The sequence below is a fragment of the Homo sapiens genome, chromosome 1, assembly GCF_000001405.40.
Source record: "Homo sapiens chromosome 1, GRCh38.p14 Primary Assembly".
NCBI lineage: Eukaryota > Metazoa > Chordata > Mammalia > Primates > Hominidae > Homo > Homo sapiens.
In genome coordinates this window covers 32970112-32990248 of record NC_000001.11, presented here as the reverse complement: position 1 = coordinate 32990248, position 20137 = coordinate 32970112, and the positions used below count along the sequence as shown (strand labels likewise).

The 20137-nt window shown below is 50.2% G+C and overlaps 2 pseudogenes, besides 4 other annotated features; both read right to left on the bottom strand.

The window, feature by feature from the left end:
* Nucleotides 801–1060: an enhancer, noted in NCBI's record as "active region_702". NCBI's record gives its function as "activates an Ori minimal core promoter by ATAC-STARR-seq in GM12878 lymphoblastoid cells {active_cell/tissue: GM12878}" and the evidence as "EXISTENCE:reporter gene assay evidence [ECO:0000049][PMID:35858748]".
* Nucleotides 2002–3318, bottom strand: LOC100419257 (ribosomal protein S2 pseudogene; annotated as a pseudogene).
* Nucleotides 8485–9684: an enhancer, noted in NCBI's record as "BRD4-independent group 4 enhancer chr1:33446166-33447365 (GRCh37/hg19 assembly coordinates)". NCBI's record gives its function as "activates an origin of replication core promoter dependent on BRD2, P300/CBP, MED14 and CDK7 cofactors, and independent of BRD4, by STARR-seq in HCT116 cells {active_cell/tissue: HCT116}" and the evidence as "EXISTENCE:reporter gene assay evidence [ECO:0000049][PMID:35650434]".
* Nucleotides 8485–9804: a biological region, named in NCBI's record as "BRD4-independent group 4 enhancer GRCh37_chr1:33446166-33447365".
* Nucleotides 9188–9804: an enhancer, noted in NCBI's record as "OCT4-NANOG-H3K4me1 hESC enhancer chr1:33446046-33446662 (GRCh37/hg19 assembly coordinates)". NCBI's record gives its function as "activates a minimal SCP1, AML or CMV promoter by ChIP-STARR-seq in primed H9 embryonic stem cells {active_cell/tissue: H9 hESC(primed)}" and the evidence as "EXISTENCE:reporter gene assay evidence [ECO:0000049][PMID:30033119]".
* On the bottom strand, nt 9724–10342 carry RPL18AP4 (ribosomal protein L18a pseudogene 4; annotated as a pseudogene).

The window sequence follows — 20137 nt, the reverse complement described above, 5'->3', positions numbered from 1 at the left end:
GTATTTTTAGTAGAGATGGGGTTTCACCATGTTGGCCAGGCTGGTCTCGAACTCCTGACCTCAGCTGATCTGCTCACCTCAGCCTCCCAAAGTGCTGGGATTACAGGCGTGAGCCACCTCACCTGGCCCTCAATTTCCATCTTTACAACAAACCTGGAAAGCAGATATTATCAGCCCCCTTTTACAGATGAGGAAATTGAGGCTTCAGGAGGTTAAATGAATTTCCAAAGTGGTATAACTCATAAGTACAAAAGCCAGAATTTGAACCAGGTTTGTCTATCTCCAAATTCAGTGCTAAATTTAGACCTAGAGTTAAGTTAAAAAATACAGGATGGTAACTGCAAAGGACTGGAGGCTATATCCAAAAGAATAGCAATGGTAGTCTCGGGGGGGATGAGTTTACATTGTTATGCATTGATGTACATTTGAATTATGAGACAAGAGATGTTCATATATGCTGGAATTCACAATTATTCCTGCAGTACATTAGTTTCATTTTCTCTGATTCTTTTCTTTACCCCAGAAATGGAAATTGCTTAAGTGGGTTTTTTTTTTTTCTTGAATACAAGAATATAGGATCCTTTTTTTGAAAATCAGATGTCAATTTTAGGATGACCATTACCAGTGAGGTTTTTTTCCCTTTGTGTTTTCCTAACTTACTATATCAAGCACGTCTTTCATAATTTGAAAGTAATGTTATTTTTAAGAAATGAATTGCACACATCAAGGACTGGAGTGACCCAGCCGACGCAAGTTCCTGTAGTTCCTGAGAAAAAGGCTTGGAGGTTTTGCGTGACCTCAGACCAGAGTGAGTCAGCAGGGTGAAGTGGCTGCCAAAACACCAGGCAAGCAAGTAGAAACATGGTCCCAGATTTGAGAAGGAAACCTCCCCTGCTCCTCAGGGCTGATCAAGCTTATCTGAGGCTCAGACATACAGGAGAGCTACCCTGAAGCTAAAGAGAGACCTAAGCACAGCTGAGGGACCTTGGAGAAGAGGCCTTTAGGGGAAGGTCTTTACAGTGCATATGCAGTTGGCATGCCTGTATGAACAGGCTTGACCAGGCGGTTTACCCTACCCAGCCAAATAGTGAGCTACCTATTACTGCAAGTATGCAAGGAAAGATGGGAAGAGTACCTTATATTAAAGGGCAGCTGTGTGGGTGATAGATTGCATTAGCAGACAACCCAGATATTAAGACATACAGTGTTTGTAGGACATGAGGGGGAAAAGATACCTACCTAACTCAACATCTCAGAGGGAGTATACTAGAACTGTCAATAGTAAGCCAATTGGGTACTAGGCTTATTACATATATATCAGTGGTTTTCAAACTTGAACTACACCAGAATTCCTGGAGGGTGTGTTGTAACACAGATTGCTGGGCCCCATGCCCAGGGTTTCTGATTCAGTATGTCAGAAGTGGGGCTACTTCACAGGTGATGTTAATGCAGCTGGTCTGGAGACCACACTTTGATATGCATGATCTTATTTATTTGTCACTGCCACCTTATAATGGAGGTTCTGTTATCCCCATTTTCCAAGTTAAAAAAGCAAAACCAAACAAAAACATCATCTGAGGCTTCTCAGAGTTAAAATTACTATTTATAACTAGTAAGTGGCAGAACCAAGATCTTTGAATCCAGATCTTTTTTTTTTAACAGGCTTAATTCATTTTATTTTTTCTTGTGTAAAAACTCCGTTGACCGGGGCAGTGGCTCACACCTGTAATCTTAGCACTTTGGGAGGCCGAGGCATACGGATCACTTGAGCCCGAGTCCCAGACCAGCCTGGGCAACATGGCAAAACCCTGTCTCTACAAAAAACACACACAAAAAATTAGCTGGGGGTGGTGGTGCATGCCTGTAGTCCCAGCTACTGGGTTAGGGAGTGGCTAAGGCAGGAGGATTGCTTGAGCCCTGGAGGTTAAGGCTGCAGTGAGCTGTGGCCATGCCACTGCACTCCAGCCTGGGCAACCCTGTCTCAAAAAACAAAAACAAAACAAAACTCTATATTGTATACATAGCTGGAGCCTGGGTCCTCCGCACAGAGACTCTGGTCTGGGTCTTGATGAGATGGTCAGTGAACTCCTGATAGGGAAACTTGATGAATATGGTCTCTCTCCAGAGGTTGAGGGTCAGATAGCTATAATTCTTGGAGATGGCACCAAAGGTGGCCTTGGCGAAGTTGCCCAGGTGGCAGTGCAGCTTTGGGTTATGCTATGCCCATGATTTATCAGCTTTTTTTTTTTTTTTTTTTTTTTAGATGGAGTCTCTGTTGCCCAGGCTGGAGTGCAGTGGCGCCATCTTGGCTCACTGCAACCTCCACCTCCTGGGTTCAAGTGATTCTCCTGCCTCAGCCTCCCGGATAACTGGGACTACAGGCGCGTGCCACCACACCCGGCTAATTTGTTGTATTTTTAGTAGAGACGGGGTTTCACTATGTTGGCCAGGCTGGTCTCAAACTCCTGACCTTGTGATCCACCCACCTCGGCCTCCCAAAGTGCTGGGATTACAGGCGTGAGCCACCGTGTCCAGCTGATTTCTCAGCTCTTACAGCTCCAGGGTACTTAGGTTGTGGGCTCTCTGCTGGGGTAGTACTTTTTCTTTCTGTTATGACGCAATACACCTGGCTGAGGTGTAGCACTGGTCTGTACTAGCCATCAGCAGCATCTTGGGCACAGGGGCCAAGGTGATGCCATTGCCTCAGTGGGGCAGGGATAAGGCACACCAGCACAGAGCCACAGCAGCCTGTCACCTTGCAAGAGATGGTGTGGGGGCTAACTGATCTTATTCCCCCAGTGGCTTCTCTGCACAGGGACAATGGAGAGCCTGACCAGGTGATGTCCCCTCAGATGGCCGTGGCTACCTCCTCGGAGCACTTAACACCCAGACCAACGTGGCCACTGTAGTCCCCAATGGCAACACACACCTTGAACCTGGTATGCTGGTCAGCGCAGGTCTGCTTTTGCACGGGCGTGGTCTTCAAAACCTCATCCTTGAGAGATGCCCCCAGGAAAAAGTCAATGATCTCAGACTCCTCGATGGTCAAGGAGAAGGGCTAGATTTCCTCCAGGGACTTGATCTTCATGTCCTTGACCAGGTAGCCCAACTTGGTGACAGGCATCCATTCCTCATCTTCATCCTTGCCTCTGCAAGCTCCATGGCCCAGGCCCTGACCCCAACCACTATCCAGGCCCCAATGCCACTGCCAAAGCCTCCGTGGAAACCACTATGACCTCCCATTCCAGGGCCCCAAGGGCCTCTGAGTCCTCTCTCTGCACCAGTCATCTGCACTTTGGTGTTTTCTCAGGGAAGAAGTTGAACCAAGATCTTTCTGACTCTGAAGTTCATGTTTAACTAAAATGGTTACTTCCTTTTCTCAATTAATAAACAGAAACAAAGATTCTAGGCCAGGCACAGTGGCTCATGCCTGTAATCCCAGCACTTTGGGAGGCCAAGGTGGGCGGATCACCTGAAGTCAGGAGTTTGAGACCAGCCTGGTCAACACGGTGAAACCCCGTCTCTATTAAAAATATAAAAATTAGCTGGGCATGGTGATGGGCGCCTGTAATCCCAGCTACTCGGGAGGCTGAGGCAGGAGAATTGCTTGAACCTGGGAAGCAGAGGTTGCAGTGAGCCAAGATCGTGCCATTGCACTCCAGCCTGGGCAACAGAGCGAGACTCCGTCTCAAAAAATAAAATAAAATAAAGCTCTTAAATTACCTGTACTGCACAATAATTCTTTTGTATGCTCAATTATTTTGTATGCTCAATGAGAATTGGTTTTCATAACTTTTCGAGCTTCTTGGGCTGCATTCCTTGGCTGGTGGTCCCCTCTTCCATCTTCAAATTCTTTTGTATGCTAAAATAAGTAACTGAAGGAAAGGCTGTCTTGAGATACCTGGACATTGAAGCCTCTCTGCCTTTAAGAAAATGACCCCATCTCTAGGGATGCATTGAGATTGAGCAGAGAATTCAGGAGTGCTCCTGGTATCTGCAGGGGTGACTCCAATCTGTTTCTATATTCAGCATTATCAGCTTAGCGCATGCTAAAAGGTGAGTTTGGTTTTGTGAGGATAATACCAAATTCTGGGGTGGCATCTTTGGAGTTGGGTGGTTGGAGGATAAGTTGTAAAGCTGGTGTTAGTTAAATGTGCCTCTGATGTGAGTCCACAGGGCAAACCGAGGACAGTGCTCTTATGGAAAAGAGCTAGGGCCATGAGAATCTACAGTGGGGCAAGCTTAGGGGTTCACAGAGGCCTTCCCAGAGGAAGTGACTTCTAACTAACACTTGAAGACAGGTAGGCATTAGCTAGGCAAGGCAGTCGAGAACATTCTGGACATACATATCACCTCCGCCAGTAGCTGGAGTTGCAGCTTCATCTGTAGGACCAAAAGAGTGACACCCACAGGCCCCTTACTGCCTAGAGGAATGCTGGGACTCTGCCCTAACCTCAAGAACCTCTGCAAGATCCTTGTCTTGTGAACCTCATGCACTGTTTGACTTCCTAGGAAATGCTATGGATTTCTTAAAATGAGATTTCTGGTATATCCACTGCTTCTGCCTGAGGCACTTTTTGTTTTCTGGAATGGTGTGGTGAGCCTTTTAGCAGAGCAGTCCTAGAATCTGCTCTAGCATTGACTTGTTACATGACCTTGGGCCAGTCACTTCTTCCCTCTGGGCCTCGATTTGTCCATCTGTAAAGTTGGGAGCAGGTGGAGCCCTTCCAGCTCTGATGCTGTCTGGTGGGACTGTGAGGAAGCAGTGTCCTGTAGTGGTTAAACCCCAGACTGTGGCCCTGAGTGGGAGTCCTGCCTGCACCATTTACTGGGACCTTGGGCAAATCACTTCTCCTCTCTGAGGCTCCATTTCCTCATCTGTACAATAGGACCTACATTCCTATCCCCCTGGATTGTATGAGGATTAAATGAGATTACAGACATAAAGCATTTGAGGCTGTGCCAGGCCCAGCAAATGGCAGCTTCTGTCATATTTTGTAATGGATGTGAAATAGAAAATGTTAACTCTGCTGATTGCTGCGAAACACACCATCCTCAGGGTTTACCATCAATGCAATCTCTGCAAACTGTCAGAAGGTCCTCTGATGGGTGTCCAGGGAAACACCCAAAGCTGGGTAGCTTCACTTCAGCAGGAACTGAGGAAATTCCCCATGGGGAAAAGTTGGCCAAGTAGGTGGTGGCTGTGCTAATTTGTGGGTATGAAGACAATTCCTAGACTCTGAGCTGCAAGGGTGAGCCTGGGATGGAGTCTGGGTGGCCTGAATTAGCTCAGGGTGGGAAAGGAAATGTCCCTTGCCCCTAGCTAGTAACCAGAGTCAGGATAGCCTAGGGCAGGATGGAAAGGAGAACTGAGTCTTCCCTCACCCATGACCTGCCCTGGTCCTCTGCCTGTGCCACACTATCACTCTAATTCTGACCATCTGATGCCTGCTCATATTGCCACTTGTAAGTCTGACTGCTCTTTACATAAAAAATGGGAAATGAAGGCTCAGAGAAAGGCAGGGACTTGCCCAGACCACACAGCAAATCAGAACCAAAATCTAGGTCTCCAGGCCTCAGATGCAGCTATCTCTGTCAGCATCAGACAGCCTCCTTGATTCTGGCAAGAGAGTGAATGGCTGGTTGTTGCCTGGCAACCACAGCCACCCCAGATGTTTTCTATCTCCACATTTTCATGAGAATCAGGCCATTCAGCGATAGCTGGGCTCAGACCTCAGAGAGAAAATGTCTCTGGTCTTAGGGGCAGTAGGGACAGGACTCCTCATGTTTGAAGCATTTACCTAGGCTAGGCACAGTCAGTTCCCCTCCAGGTTCTAGAACTCTCCCAGGCTGCCCCGACCCATTTCTCTTTCTTGCTTAGGGACGAGATTCACACGATTTCCTCCCTTCTGGCTGAGCTGAGCTGTGCTCTGTCATCACCGACAGCAAGTGCTGGAGGAGAAAATCCTGCTGGGGCCTTTAATCACATTGAGAGAGCAATTTAGGAATCACCCTGGGCCTGAACCCTGGCTCTGCCAGTCATTGGCTACATGACCTTGATCAAGTTACTCCACCTCTCTGAGCTGGTTCTTTCATCTGTAAAATGGGGTTAATGTCTGCCTCTCAGGTCTGTGTAAAGAGTTAATGAAATAATGAATGTAGGCCAGGCGCAGTGGCTCACGCCTGTAATCCCAACTCTTTGGGAGGCCGAGGTGGGCGGATCACGAGGTCAGGAGATCGAGACCATCCTGGCTAACATGGTGAAACCCCGTTTCTACTAAAAATACAAAAAATTAGCCACACCTGTAGTCCCAGCTACTCGGGAGGCTGAGCCAGGAGAATGGCGTGAACCCGGGAGGCGGAGCTTCATCTCAAAAAAAAATAAAAATATGAATGTAAGGTATCAGGCATAGGAATAGGTATTCAGGGCCACGCGTGGTGGCTCACACTTGCAATCTCAGCACTTTGGGAGGCCGAGGCAGGCGGATCACCTGAGGTCAGGAGTTGGAGACAAGCCTGGCCAAGACGGTGAAACCCCATCTCTACTAAAAATACAAAAATTAGCTGGGCATGATGGCAGGTGCTATAATCCCAGCTACTTGGGAGGCTGAGGTGGGAGAATCACTTGAACTCGGGAGGTGGAGATTGCAGTGAGCTGAGATCGCGCCATTGCACTCCACCCTGGGCGACAGAACCAGACTGCGTCTCAAGAAGAAAAAAAAGAAATAGGTATTCAGTATTAACATCTGTATCAGTCAACTTTCTCAACTGCAAGCAGTAAGATTCCACTAAAGATTGTCTAGCAGAAAAAGGCCAGAGGATCAGGCTGGGGGCTACACATCAAGAACAGTATCCCCAGAATGCCACTTCAGTGAAGACCCTAGGGCCACCCCCAGTTGCCAACACACAGCACAGATGTGGCAGCACGCATTAGGGATTTTCTGTAGCCTCACTCACCGTGGCACCCCTTGCCCTTCTCTCTGCCCTTTTGGGATCTGGTACAGGAGGAAGGAAGTGGATTCCTCACGCTCATGGCTAGACTGCATAGGGAAAACACATACATAAGCACTATACCCCTGGTGCTGTTTACACTGCTTACAACCCTCCCTTAGAGAATGATACTACTATTTTGCCAGTTGATAGATATGGAAACTGATGCACAGAGAGGTTTTTTTCTTAACTTGCCTGAGATCACACAACCAGTAAACAGTAGAACCAGAACTGGAACCCAGGCAGTTTAACTCTCTTGCTAATGTCCTGAACTAGAACTCTCAGGGTAACCAGAGTTACCCTGAGAAATTACTATTTCCCATCTACATGATGGGAAGATTCTATCATAACTGTGACTAGATGGATGGATGGATGGATGGATGGATGGATGGATGGATGGTTTATTCATTAATTCAACTTTAAGTGCTTTTTATGTCCCAGGCTCTGTGGTCAACACCAAGTAAAACTAATATGTTCTCTGACTTTAAGGAACTTAGGGCTAGTGGAGGAAAAGAACAAGAAATAAGCAAACACTCAAGTAAACTAAATACTTGGAAATTATGAGAAGAGCAAGGAAGGAAACACAGAACAAAGTATAAGAAAGAATCACTGGGGCAACATTATGGGTAGGGAGGACTCTCTCCCTGGCTCACTGTTCAACCATACTGGCCTCCTGGCTGCTCTTTGTTTTTGTTGTTGTTGTTGTTGTTGTTGTTTGTTTGTTGTTGTTGTTGTTTTTGAGACAAAGTCTTGCTCTATCACTAGGGTGGAGCGCAGTGGTGCGATCTCGGCTCACTGCAACCTCCGCCTCCCGGTTTCAAGCGATTTTCCTGCCTCAGCCTCCCGAGTAGCTGGGACTACAGGGGCGCGCTACCATGCCCAGCTAATTTTTGTATTTTTAGTAGAGATGGGTTTCACCATGTTGGCCAGGATGGTCTTGAACTCCTGACCTTGTGATCCGCCCACCTTGGCCTCCCAAAGTGCTGGGATTACAGGTGTGAGCCACTGCACCCGGCCCTGGCTACTCTTTGGAACCACCAAGCACACTTAGGGCGTTTGCTTTGGCTGTTCCTTCTGCTTAATAAGGGTTTCCCCAGTTACCTACATGGCTAACTCCCTCACCTCCTTAAAGTTTTGTATGCATAGCACCTTCTCAGCAAGACCTTCCTTGACACCACTGTTTAACAACTCATCCTGCCTCTTCCCTGCACTGATGCTGCATCAGCACTCCTTGTCTCCTCCCTGCTCTACTGTATCTTCCCCTTACCACTTTCTAACACAGTTTATTTATGTGTATTTATAATTTATTATATTTATTATGTTTACACTTTGCTTTACCTTGTAGAATGTAAACATCACAAGAGAGCAGGGATCTTTGTTCTGTTCACTGAAATATGGCACATAGTAAGTGCTCAAAAGTATTTACTGAATGAATGTAAATAATGTCCCTGATGTCACACAGCTGGAAAGTGGCATTTCTGTGATTTGTATCTAGTGTTATTTGGCTCCAAAGCTATAGAACCTTATTACTAGGGCTGTTACGGGGCTCAAATGGGTTCACGTGTCAGCCACTTAGCACAGTGCCTGGTAGGAAGGTTAATGTGCCATAAACATGAAATAATAGTTGTTATTATTAATTATTGACAGGGCCCCTCCCTCTTGGGCTCATTTTTCTAAATTTCATAATAGTACAGCAGGCTTTTTGGGGTAAGACGTCAAGCCTGACTTGACAGACACACTGACATGACTCTTAGGAAGGAAAAATGCAGCGGTGCCAGCCCCAGTAGCCTGGAACCCTGCCCCAGCAGGACCCAGTCCTCTATGTGGCCCAGCCTACTTCGTAACTGAGCTGAAACTGTTCACCCACAGGGACTGCAAACAACACAGACTTCCTGTATTTTGAGAAAGGGGAAGTCCAACCAGTGATTTACCTTGAGTCATTTGTTTCGAGACGGAAGCCTCAGCAGTTGGCAGAAAGTATAGGAAGGAGGAAGGCTGCCAGAGGCAAGAAAGGAGACCTGGATTCTAGAAGGAATGCCACTACTTCTCAGCTGACCACACTGAGCAAGTCCCCTCTCTGGCCTTAATTTTCTCACCTGGAAAATGGGACAATGATCTTTACCTCACTGGCTTCTCTAGGCAGTGCTAATATCGATGAGTGCCTGTGTGTGAAGAGCTGGAAATACAGGAATGCATCAGCATCTTGCAACTGGAAGGGCAAAGTTCAGAGGTTAAAAATTTACAAACTATGAAGTCACTTAGATCTGGATTCAAATCCTGCCTCCATCACTTTCTAGCTGTGTGTCCCTGGGCAAGTAATGTAACCTCTCTAAGTCTCAGGATCTTTGGTTTCCTCAGCTGTGAAATAATTTTTCTCCTAAACTGATTTTGAGGATTAAATGAGATATGCATATCAATGGCTATGAAGGAACAAGGAACTGGGCTCAGAGGAATCCTTCAGAAATGGTGATTCTTGTTTTTAATCCTGGATGAGCTCTCACTTCCTCTCTGTGTGATGCCAGTGCCCAGGACAAACCCCTGCTGAGAGTATTTCTTTTTTTTTATTTTTTGAGACAGAGTCTCACTCTGTCACCCAAGCTGGAGTGCAGTGGTGCGATCTCGGCTCACTGCAACCTCCGCCTCTTGGGTTCAAGCGATCCTCCTGCCTCAGCCTCTCGAGTAGCTGGGATTACAGGCACCTATCACCATGCCCAGCTAACTTTTTTTTTTCCCCACCAGGGTGTTCCTGAGTTTATTTGAGGCACAGCCGGGCGAGGGCCCTGTACCTAGAAGAAGGTGTTGGGTCTCCTGGTGAAGCGTGGCTTCTGCTGATGGCACAGCACCAAGTGGGGCAGCAGGAACTTGATCTTGGAGTCGTGGAATTGCTTGACAACTGGCCACCAGCACTTGCTGGCCGCAATCTCCTCCACCTTCATGATCTGGATGAAGTTGGCCCGGGCGCGGTACTGGGTGCCCATGTCTTGGTAGCACTGGGTGACAGCGCCCATGGTGGTTAGGTCCCGGTATTCCCTGTACATGTTGTGGGTGCTGCTCCGGGAGTCATAGCGCAGCCAGATGCCAAAGTTCTTCACCCACAGTGGGTACTTCTCAAACACCTGCCCACAGTTGACAGTCTCCCCTGAAGACTTCTTCATCTTCTTTAATTGAGATAGGAAGTACCAGAAGTGGAACTTGGCGACTACATGATTAGGCGCAAAGATTTGCATGTGGTAGAGGGGCAGTGTGTGGCATTTGGGGGTGGGCAGGCAGTGACACACCACCTTGTACTCTTGTTGTGTGCCCAAGGCCTTCATGGCTTTCTGTCCACCTTTGCCACCACCCACAAAAGGAAAAGGCTAATTTTTGTATTTTTAGTAGAGATGGGGTTTCACCATCTTGGCCACTCCCGACCTAAACTGATCCACCCACCTTGGCCTTCAAAAGTGCTGGGATTATAGGCGTGAGCCACTGCACCCGGCTCCCTTCTGAGTATTTAATAGAAATACCTCCATCTGTGGGACCACAGATAATTATTAAAATAGAGAATAATTTTATGTATTTATTTTTACTTATGACAAAACTTAATAAATTCATGGCAGAAAAAAACTTAAGCAAATAAGTAAAAATAAGAAAATAGAGATTACATATAACTTCATCACCTAGAGATAATCACTATTAACAGTTGGGTTAACTCTCCTGGATTTCTTTTTAAGGCATATTTAACAAGATGTTAAATGCAAGTTTCCCGTCATTTTGGCTTTGGGGCAGAGGCAAGGACCACTACATCCAGGCATGCTGAAGGATGGAGAAACCAGTTCTACCAGCATTAATCCCATCACCCCCAGAGTGTGTGTGTGTGTGTGTGTGTGTGTGTGTGTGTGTGTGTGTGTATGAGAGAGAGAGAGAAGACAGAAGAGAGAAGAGGGCTAGTTTAGAGAGATGTATTTTAGAGGCAATTGTGGTTTTTTGTTTTGTTTTTGAGTCAGGGTCTCACTCTGTCACCCAGGCTGGAGTATGGTGGCACAATCACTGCTCACTGCAACCTTGAATTCCTGGGCTCAAGTGATCCTTCCACCAAGCCTCTCAAGTAGCTAGGACTACAGGTGCGTGTTACCATGCCCAGTTAGGTTTTTTTTACTTTTTTATGGAGATGGGATCTTGCTGTGTTGCCCAGGCTGGTCTCGAACTCCTGGCCTCAAGCAATCATCCCCGTTAGGCCTCCCAAAGTGCTGGAATTACAGGCATGTAGGGCAGTTGTCTGGAGAGCAGATCCAATCCACTGTTTGCTATCTCAGTGGCCTTGGGTAAGTCACTTCACCTCTCTGGGCCTTAATTTCATCTGCCAAGTGGGAGTTATGATGATAGTACTTCCCTCATAAATCACTGTGGGGGGCCGGGTGAGGTGGCTCACACCTGTAATTCCAGCACTTTGGGAGGCCAAGGCAGGCAGATCACCTGAGGTCAGGATTTTAACACCAGGCTGGCAACATGGTGAAACCCTGTCTCTACAAAAATACAAAAATGAGCCGGACATGATGGCGAGTGCCTGTAATCCCAGCTGCTAGGGAGGCTGAGGTGGAAGAATCACTTGAACGCAGAAGGCGGAGGTTGCAGTGAGCCGAGATTGCGCCACTGCACTTCAGCCTGGGCAAGAGAGCAAGATTCTGTCTCAAAAAAAAAAAAAAATCACTGTGAGGATAACAGATGTATGTAGCATTTAATACGGTGTTTTGCACAAGTAAATGTATACAACTTTTTTTTTCTTTGAGACGGAATCTCGCTCTATTGCCCAGGCTGGAGTGCAGTGACAGGGTTTCACCATGTTGGCCAGGCTGGTGTCAAACTCCTGACCTCAAGTGATCCACCCACCTCTGCCTCCCAAAGTGCTGGGATTACAGGTGTGAGCCACCATGCCCAGCCACTTCTCAACTTATGTCCCAATAAACCCATCATACGTTGAAAATATTGTGAGCAGAAAATGCATTTGATAAACCTAACCTAACCATCATAGCTTAGCCTAGCCTATCTTAAACATGCTCAGAAGACTTGCACTAGCCTTCAGTTGGACAAAATTATATAACACGAAGCCTATTTTTAAGGTTTCCAAGGATGGACCCAAGCACCCATTCCGAAACCCCTTTCCAGGATTACTGCAAATTCCCGGGAGGCTTTATTTCTCCTGCTCCCGTTCCTACTTCAGTCTGTACTATCTTTGGTCAGCACTATACCAAAACAGATGTAAAAGTTGGCCCCTTCAGCTGTTTCCACCAACACTCCAGTCAGGGCAGCCCCCGTGAATATAGATCTTTCTTGAATATTTCCAGGGATAGGAGGCAGAGACATTCACATCATAGCTATAAACCTCAGGGTGAACAAAAACAAAAACAACTCCCAGTTTCCAAGACAGCCTTTTCTACTTTCCTCCACAGCCCCCGGCCTCAGCCACAAGCCAGCTCCTGTCTCCTGGTAAAGGAAATTTGCCTTTGGCTATTCATTCCACTCTCTCTTCCTAAGGACCTCTCAGATTTCTCTTCCAGGCATTATCCCACTGTGTGAAGCCTCAGGGTTGGGGGCTTGGCTTTCTCTCCTATCTCCCCATCACCACCATCATCAAGTGAAAGCCTTACAGGGCTCCTCTTTGGCCTTCATGTAGTCCGCACAAGGATAGGAGGAAACATTTGCTGTCATTCTGGCCCTCTCTGGCTTCCTGCTGTCCACCCCTCCCCAGAACCCTCGGGTCCTGCCCATTTCCCAAATCCAGTCCTCCAGATTCTGGTAGAATCTCTGAGCCCTCAGTAGCTTCTCAGTGTATGTATGACCTTTTGCTTAAAACATTCAGAGCCACTGGGGAACATATCCAAATCTAAGTTCTCTTCTTCTTCTTCTTCTTCTTCTTTTTTGAGGCGGAGTCTCACTCTGTCACCCAGGCTGGAGTGCAATGGCGTGGTCTTGGCTCACTGCAACCTCTGCCTCCCAGGTTCAAGCGATATTCCTGTCTCAGCCTCCCGAGTAGCTGGGACTACAGGCGCGTGCCACCACCCCTGGCTAATTTTTGTATTTTTAGTAGAGATGGGGTTTCACTATGTTGGCCAGGCTAGTCTCAAACTCCTGACCTCGTGATCCGCCCGCCTCGGCCTCCCAAAGTACTGGGATTACAGGTGTGAGCCACCATGCCTGGCCTTCTCTTCTTTGTTGCCTCCACAACAGCTGCCTCTCAGACATTCAAGACCTTTACCCTGGTTTTCCAAAGCATTTTCCTAATGAAAGCCATCCTCTTCTCTAAGGGTGGAGGTAATGCGCTAAGGGTTTATGACATGCATCTGGCTCACGGCTGTTTTTAAAAAATCAAATCAACATTTAAAAATTGATGGATTACACATAAAAGTCCGGATTTGTGGCTTTTCTTATAAATTCAGAAAATCTGGCATCATAAGACCCACATTTCTCCCAAGGAGCATATTGGCCTAAATGAAGAGCGGACTCCCTGCCCTTTAGACAGGTTTTTCCTTTCTTTTTTCTTTCTAAATACTGTACTTCATGCCATAAGACAGGTTTTTCTTTTTCTTTTTTTTTTCTGTGACGGAGTCTCGCTCTGTCGCCCAGGCTGGAGTGCAGAGGTGCAATCTGGGTTCACTGCAACCTCCACCTCCCGGGTTCACGCCATTCTCCTGCCTCAGCCTCCCGAGTAGCTGGGACTACAGGCGCCCGCCACCATGCCCGGCTAATTGTGTGTGTGTGTGTGTGTGTGTGTGTGTGTGTGTGTGTGTGTGTGTTTAGTAGAGACGGGGTTTCACCGTGTTGGCCAGAATGGTCTCGATCTCCTGACCTCGTGATCCGCCCACCTCGGCCTCCCAAAGTGCTGGGATTACAGGCGTGAGCCACCGCGCCCGGCAAGACAGGTTTTTCTTATGCCCCTGATACACCAGCCGTATTTCTCTCTCCTGCTTGACTTCTGCAGGCTTTCACCTTTGTGACCTTTGCTAAGCGGCATTTTAGTGCCAGTTTCTACCCTCTGTTGCTTTATTATAATTAAGTAGGGTCTAGGAATTCGCTAGGTTCACAAAGGGGGAAAGGGGACCCTACAGCAAGAGCAGTCGCAAGTATGCAAGTGATGGCTATCCCTGGAAGGGCCCCGGGTCCAGAGGGATGGGGTCTCCCGTGCAAGGAGGCGGTGGGACTGGTGAGGGTGAAGGTGAGTCTTAGTTATGAAGGATCTAAATGCTCTCTCATCGGGCACGGGGAGCCAGTGTGGGGTTTAAGGCAGGGCGACACACCATGAGCTGTAGGTATGAGAAAGGTGGCTGGGAAGCTTGCGGGGCAGAATCTATTGAAACCCTCCCGCTCAAAAAAAAAAACCTCTTTAAAAATAAAACAAAAACCCCTCTCCCTCTCCCTCTCCCTCTCCCTCTCCCTCTCCACGGTCTCCTTCCACGGTCTCCCTCTGATGCGGAGCCAAAGCTGGACGGTACTGCTGCCATCTCGGCTCACTGCAACCTCCCGGTCTGATTCTCCTGCCTCAGCCTGCCGAGTGCCTGTGATTGCAGGCGCGCGCCGCCACGCCTGACTGGTTTTCGTTTTTTTTTGGTGGAGACGGGGTTTCGCTGTGTTGGCCGGGCTGGTCTCCAGCTCCTAACCGCGAGTGATCCGCCAGCCTCGGCCTCCCGAGGTGCCGGGATTGCAGACGGAGTCTGGTTCACTCAGTGCTCAATGGTGCCCAGGCTGGAGTGCAGTGGTGTGATCTCAGCTCTCTACAACCTACACCTCCCAGCCGCCTGCCTTGGCCTCCCAAAGTGCCGAGAATGCAGCCTCTGCCCGGCCGCCACCCCGTCTGGGAAGTGAGGAGCGTCTCTGCCTGGCCGCCTATCGTCTGGGAGGTGAGGAGCCCCTCTGCCTGGCTGCCCAGTCTGGAAAGTGAGGAGCGTCTCTGCCCGGCCGCCATCCCATCTAGGAAGTGAGGAGCATCTCTGCCTGACCCGCCCATCGTCTGAGTGGGGAGCGCCTCTGCCCCGACGCCCTGTCTGGGACGTGAGGAGCGCCTCTGCTGGGCCGCACCCCGTCTGGGAGGTGAGGAGCGTCTCTGCCCGGCCGCCCCGTCTGAGAAGTGAGGAAACCCTCTGCCTGGCAACCGCCCCGTCTGAGAAGTGAGGAGCCCCTCCGTCCGGCAGCCACCCCGTCTGGGAAGTGAGGAGCGTCTCCGCCCGGCAGCCACCCCGTCCGGGAGGGAGGTGGGGGGGGGTCAGCCCCCCGCCCGGCCAGCCGCCCCGTCCGGGAGGTGAGGGGCTCCTGTGCCCGGCCGCCCCTACTGGGAAGTGAGGAGCCCCTCTGCCCAGCCAGTCGCCCCGTCCAGGAGGGAGGTGGGGGGGTCAGCCCCCCGCCCGGCCAGCCGCCCAGTCCGGGAGAGAGGTGGGGGGTCAGCCCCCCGCCCAGCCAGCCGCCCCGTCCGGGAGGGGGGAGGGGGGGTCAGCCCCCTGCCCGGCCAGGCTCCCCGTCCGGGAGGGAGGTGGGGGGATCAGCCCCCCGCCTGGCCAGCCGCCCCGTCCGGGAGGTGAGGGGCGCCTCTGCCCGGCCGCCCCTACTGGGAAGTGAGGACCCCTCTGCCCGGCCAGCCGCCCCGTCCGGGAGGGAGGTGGGGGGGTCAGCCCCCCGCCCGGCCAGCCGCCCAGTCCGGGAGGGAGGTGGGGGGTCAGCCCCCCGCCCGGCCAGCCGCCCCGTCCGGGAGGGAGGTGGGGGGATCAGCCCCCCGCCTGGCCAGCCGCCCCGTCCGGGAGGTGAGGGGCGCCTCTGCCCGGCCGCCCCTACTGGGAAGTGAGGAGCCCCTCTGCCCGGCCAGCCGCCCCGTCCGGGAGGGAGGTGGGGGGGTCAGCCCCCCGCCTGGCCAGCCGCCCCGTCCGGGAGGTGAGGGGCGCCTCTGCCCGGCTGCCCCTATTGGGAAGTGAGGAGCCCTTTTGCCCGGCCAGCCGCCCCGTCCGGGAGGGAGGCGGGGGGGGGGGTTGGCCAGCCGCCCCGTCCGGGAGGGAGGTGGGGGGGTCAGCCCCCCGCCCGGCCAGCCGCCCTATCCAGGAGGTGAGGGGCGCCTCTGCCCGGCCGCCCCTACTGGGAAGTGAGGAGCCCCTCTGCCTGGCCAGCCGCCCCGTCCGGGAGGGTGGTGGGGGGGTCAGCCCCCCGCCCGGCCAGACGCCCCATCCGGGAGGTGAGGGGCGCTTCTGCCCGGCCGCCCCTACTGGGAAGTGAGGAGCCCCTCTGCCCGGCCACGACCCCGTCTGGGAGGTGTGCCCAGCGGCTCATTGGAGATGGGCCATGGTGACAATGGCGGTTTTGTGGAATAGAAAGGCGGGAAGGGTGGGGAAAAAATTGAGAAATCGGATGGGTGCCGGGTCTGTGTGGATAGAAGTAGACATGGGAGACTTTTCATTTTGTTCTGTACTAAGAAAAATTCTTCTGCCTTGGGATCCTGTTGATCTGTGACCTTATCCCCAACCCTGTGCTCTCTGAAACATGTGCTGTGTCCACTCAGGGTTAAATGGATTAAGGGCGGTGCAAGATGTGCTTTGTTAAACCGATGCTTGAAGGCAGCATGCTCGTTAAGAGTCATCACCACTCCCTAATCTTAAGTACCCAGGGACACAAACACTGCGGAAGGCCGCAGGGTCCTCTACCTAGGAAAACCAGAGACCTTTGTTCACTTGTTTATCTGCTGACCTTCCCTCCACTATTGTCCTATGACCCTGCCAAATCCCCCTCTGCGAGAAACACCCAAGAATGATCAATAAAAAAAAAAAATAAATAAATAAATAAAAATTAAAAAAAAAAAAAAAAAAAGAAACCCTCCCATCCCCCGCTGTGTCTGCTGGAAGCCCAGTGAGAGGCAGGGGCAGTGGTCCGAGGACGGCTGCCGCCGGATGAGTGGCAAAGGCGGTGGGAACGGCTGGGAGGACTGCAAGGGAGGGATTTCGGAGGCAGCCTTGTCAAAGAGTGGGTATGCTTGACCTTGACAGAAAACACTGCGGGAGCTGCGGCAGCAACTCGCTCGCCTCCGCTCCCTTCCCGTCCCCTGCGCCGTAGCGGACCGCGGCGGAATCCCGGCCCCTCGCCGGGCGCTCTCCCGCGCGGATGCGGCACGCGAGGGGCGGGGGCGGGATGGCGAGGGTGGCGGCACTGCGGGGATGCCGGTCTTCCCTGGAAGGCCAGGGAGGGAAAGGGAGGCTGGTCACATGGCACCGCCACCGGGCGCAGCCGGATTGGCGGGTTGCGCAGCCAAGCAAGCCAAGGCTGCTCGGATTTCCAGGCACTAAGCGGCCCCCTCCCCTCGTTCGAGTGCCCAAGGAAAGCGCTGGCCCTGCCCCGGGCAAGGGAAGACGCGAGCCGTGCTCGTTCCGCAGTGTGAAACGCACGGTATCGCCGCAGTCCTAGGGAGGTCTGATTATTGGGAGCTTGGGACGTCTGATTATTGTGTGGGAGCAATTGTCTGATTATTGTCTCGGGAGGTCTGATTATTGTCTGGGAGGTCTGATTATTGTCTCCATGAACACCTCTCGTCCCCCTTCCCTTCTCTGCTTTTCTCCTGACTTCCCACACCTGCCCCTCTTTCTACCTTACCTACCTGGAGGCCAGCTTTATTTGCAGGTTTCCATTACTTGCTGTAATTTTTCAGCTTTGAGTAAATCAACCTGCTGGAGGTGGCAAAGATTAAAAGAGAAATCCGACAGATGCCTCAAGTCCCACACATCCAGCCCCACTTATCTCCCCAAAATGCTCTTCTCTGTCTCAAGCAAAAACCTGAGAACCATCTCCATCTCGCTGTCCCCAATCAAATCTATGACCAAAACCTATTAAATTTACCTCCAAAATATTTCTTACACCTCACACCAAGTATTTTTCCTTCTTAGCATCTATCCTGATTTGTAACTGTATGTTTATTTGTATGATTGTTTTTGTAAGGGTTTTTCCCACTGGATTGTAAGCTCCATGTGAGCAGTGACCTTGTCTGTTTTGCTCATTGCTATATCACCGACACTGTACCAGGCACATAGTAGGTACACACTAAATGTTAATTAATTGATTGAATGAATGAATCCATGTAAAACAAGTCCTGGGGAGGGGCACAGATTTTAAGTAAAATACACAGTTTATCTATCCCCAAGAAGTCACCTATCTGATGGGTTTGGTGTCATGAAGCCTGTAGTTCCAGCTACTTGGAAGACTAAGGCAGGAGGATTGCTTGAGCCCAGGAGTTTGAAACTGTATCATACTATGATTTTGCCTGTAAATAGCCACTGCACTCCAGCCTGGGCAACATAGCATGACACCGTCTATAAACAAAACAAAAAAAGAAGTCATCTATCCAACAAACATGTCCTGAGGTCTTTGCTACACAAGGCCCTGGACAGAGACCAGTGCATGCAATGAGTAAGTTTCCATTTCTACCTTCCCTCTTTGTCTTAAGAGTCCACATGTCACTAACCCAGACAAGACCCTGTGGTATTGGAGGTGCCAAGGATGGAGTCAGAGTCCAGGATTTAGAATATGATGAGCTGGCTGTGTGACCACAAGTCTCCTCTCTCTGAGGCTCCATCTTCTCATCTTGAAAACAGGATAGCAATACCAAGCTCACATGGCTGTTGAGAGCAATGAATGAGATAAATGAAAGCATCAACTGCGGGTTTTACAGCGATGTTGGGTGTAGGTGGGTGATCATATCTTCCAGTTTGCCTGGAACAGATCAATTGACACCTGTTAAACTAGAGCAAATTAATAGCATTCCCTTTCATCCCTCCAAATGTCCTGCTTTGGACAGTAAAGTATGTGGATACCCTAGTACTACATGTAACTCTAGAGTTATCTACACTGTACCCTGGGGACACAAAGGATGGAGGGAGGTGGGTCTGACTGTAGAAAGGTGGATGGTAACCATGGAAATGAGCCTGAAATATGCACAGGATTACACCAAGTGGAGAGGGATAGGAAGGGCATAAGAAGCAGAGGGACCAGCATTTGCCAAGAAGCGAGGCTTAACAATCCTGGGCATACTTAGTTAGATAACATAAAGAAGGCCAAATGGCTTGAGTCCAGGAGGCATGCAAGAAGATGAGGCTTTCTGCAGTGGGAACTGGAGAAAGTTTTTGAGTAGGGGTAGACATGAGCCAATGGCTTCACAAAAGAGACCAGTTGAGGAGCTGGAGCCGAAATTGAAGCAGAAGAGATAATGAGGCTTGAACAGGGCAGTGCATGTAAACCCAGGAACAAAGGGTGAGATTCCATAAGCATTTTGGAGATAAAACAGATAGGACTTCGATGTGAGCATCAGAGGACAGGTCAGAGGCAGGAAGACTTCCAGATGGATAAAGAGGCCACTCCCTGAGGCAGGCAGAGAGAGGACAGGCCAGGAGACCCAGAAAATAGGAGGTGACCCAGATCAGGCTGACTAGGCACAGAAGCTCATGATCCACAGGGAAAAATGGAGATCACATCAGGTAGAGGTGACTTCTGAGGCCAGAGGAAGGAGCTAGGAGCCTCAATATTCATGTGACATCTAATTAAAATTAGCTTTCAAAGCAACCTTGAAGCCAGGTGCTGTGGCTCATGCCTGTAATCCCAGCACTTTGGGAGGCTGGGGCGGGTAGATCACCTGAGATCAGGAGTTTGAGACCAGCCTGGTCAACATGGTGAAACCCCGTCTCTACTAAAAATGCAAAAATTAGCCAGGCATGGTGGCACACACCTGTAGTCCCAGCTTCTTGGGAGGCTGAGGCAGGAGAATCTCTTGAATCTGGGAGGCAGAGGTTGCAGTGAGCTGAGATTGCGCCATTGCACTCCGTCAAAAGCGAAAAAGTGAAACTCCATGTCAAAAAAAAAAAAAAAAAAAAGAGGCTGGGCGTGGTAGCTCACACCTGTAATCCCAGCACTTTGGGAGGCCGAGGTGGGCAGATCACTTGAGGTCAGGAGTTCAAGACCAGCCTGGCCAACATGGCGAAACCCCATCTCTACTAAAATACAAAAAAAAAAATCAGCCGGGCATGGTGATTAGTGCCTGTAGTCCCAGCTACACGGGAGGATGAGGCACAAGAATCGCTTGAACCCAGGAGGTGGAGGTTGCAGTGAGCCGAGATCGCGCCATTGCACTCCAGCCTGGGTGACAGAGCAAGACTCT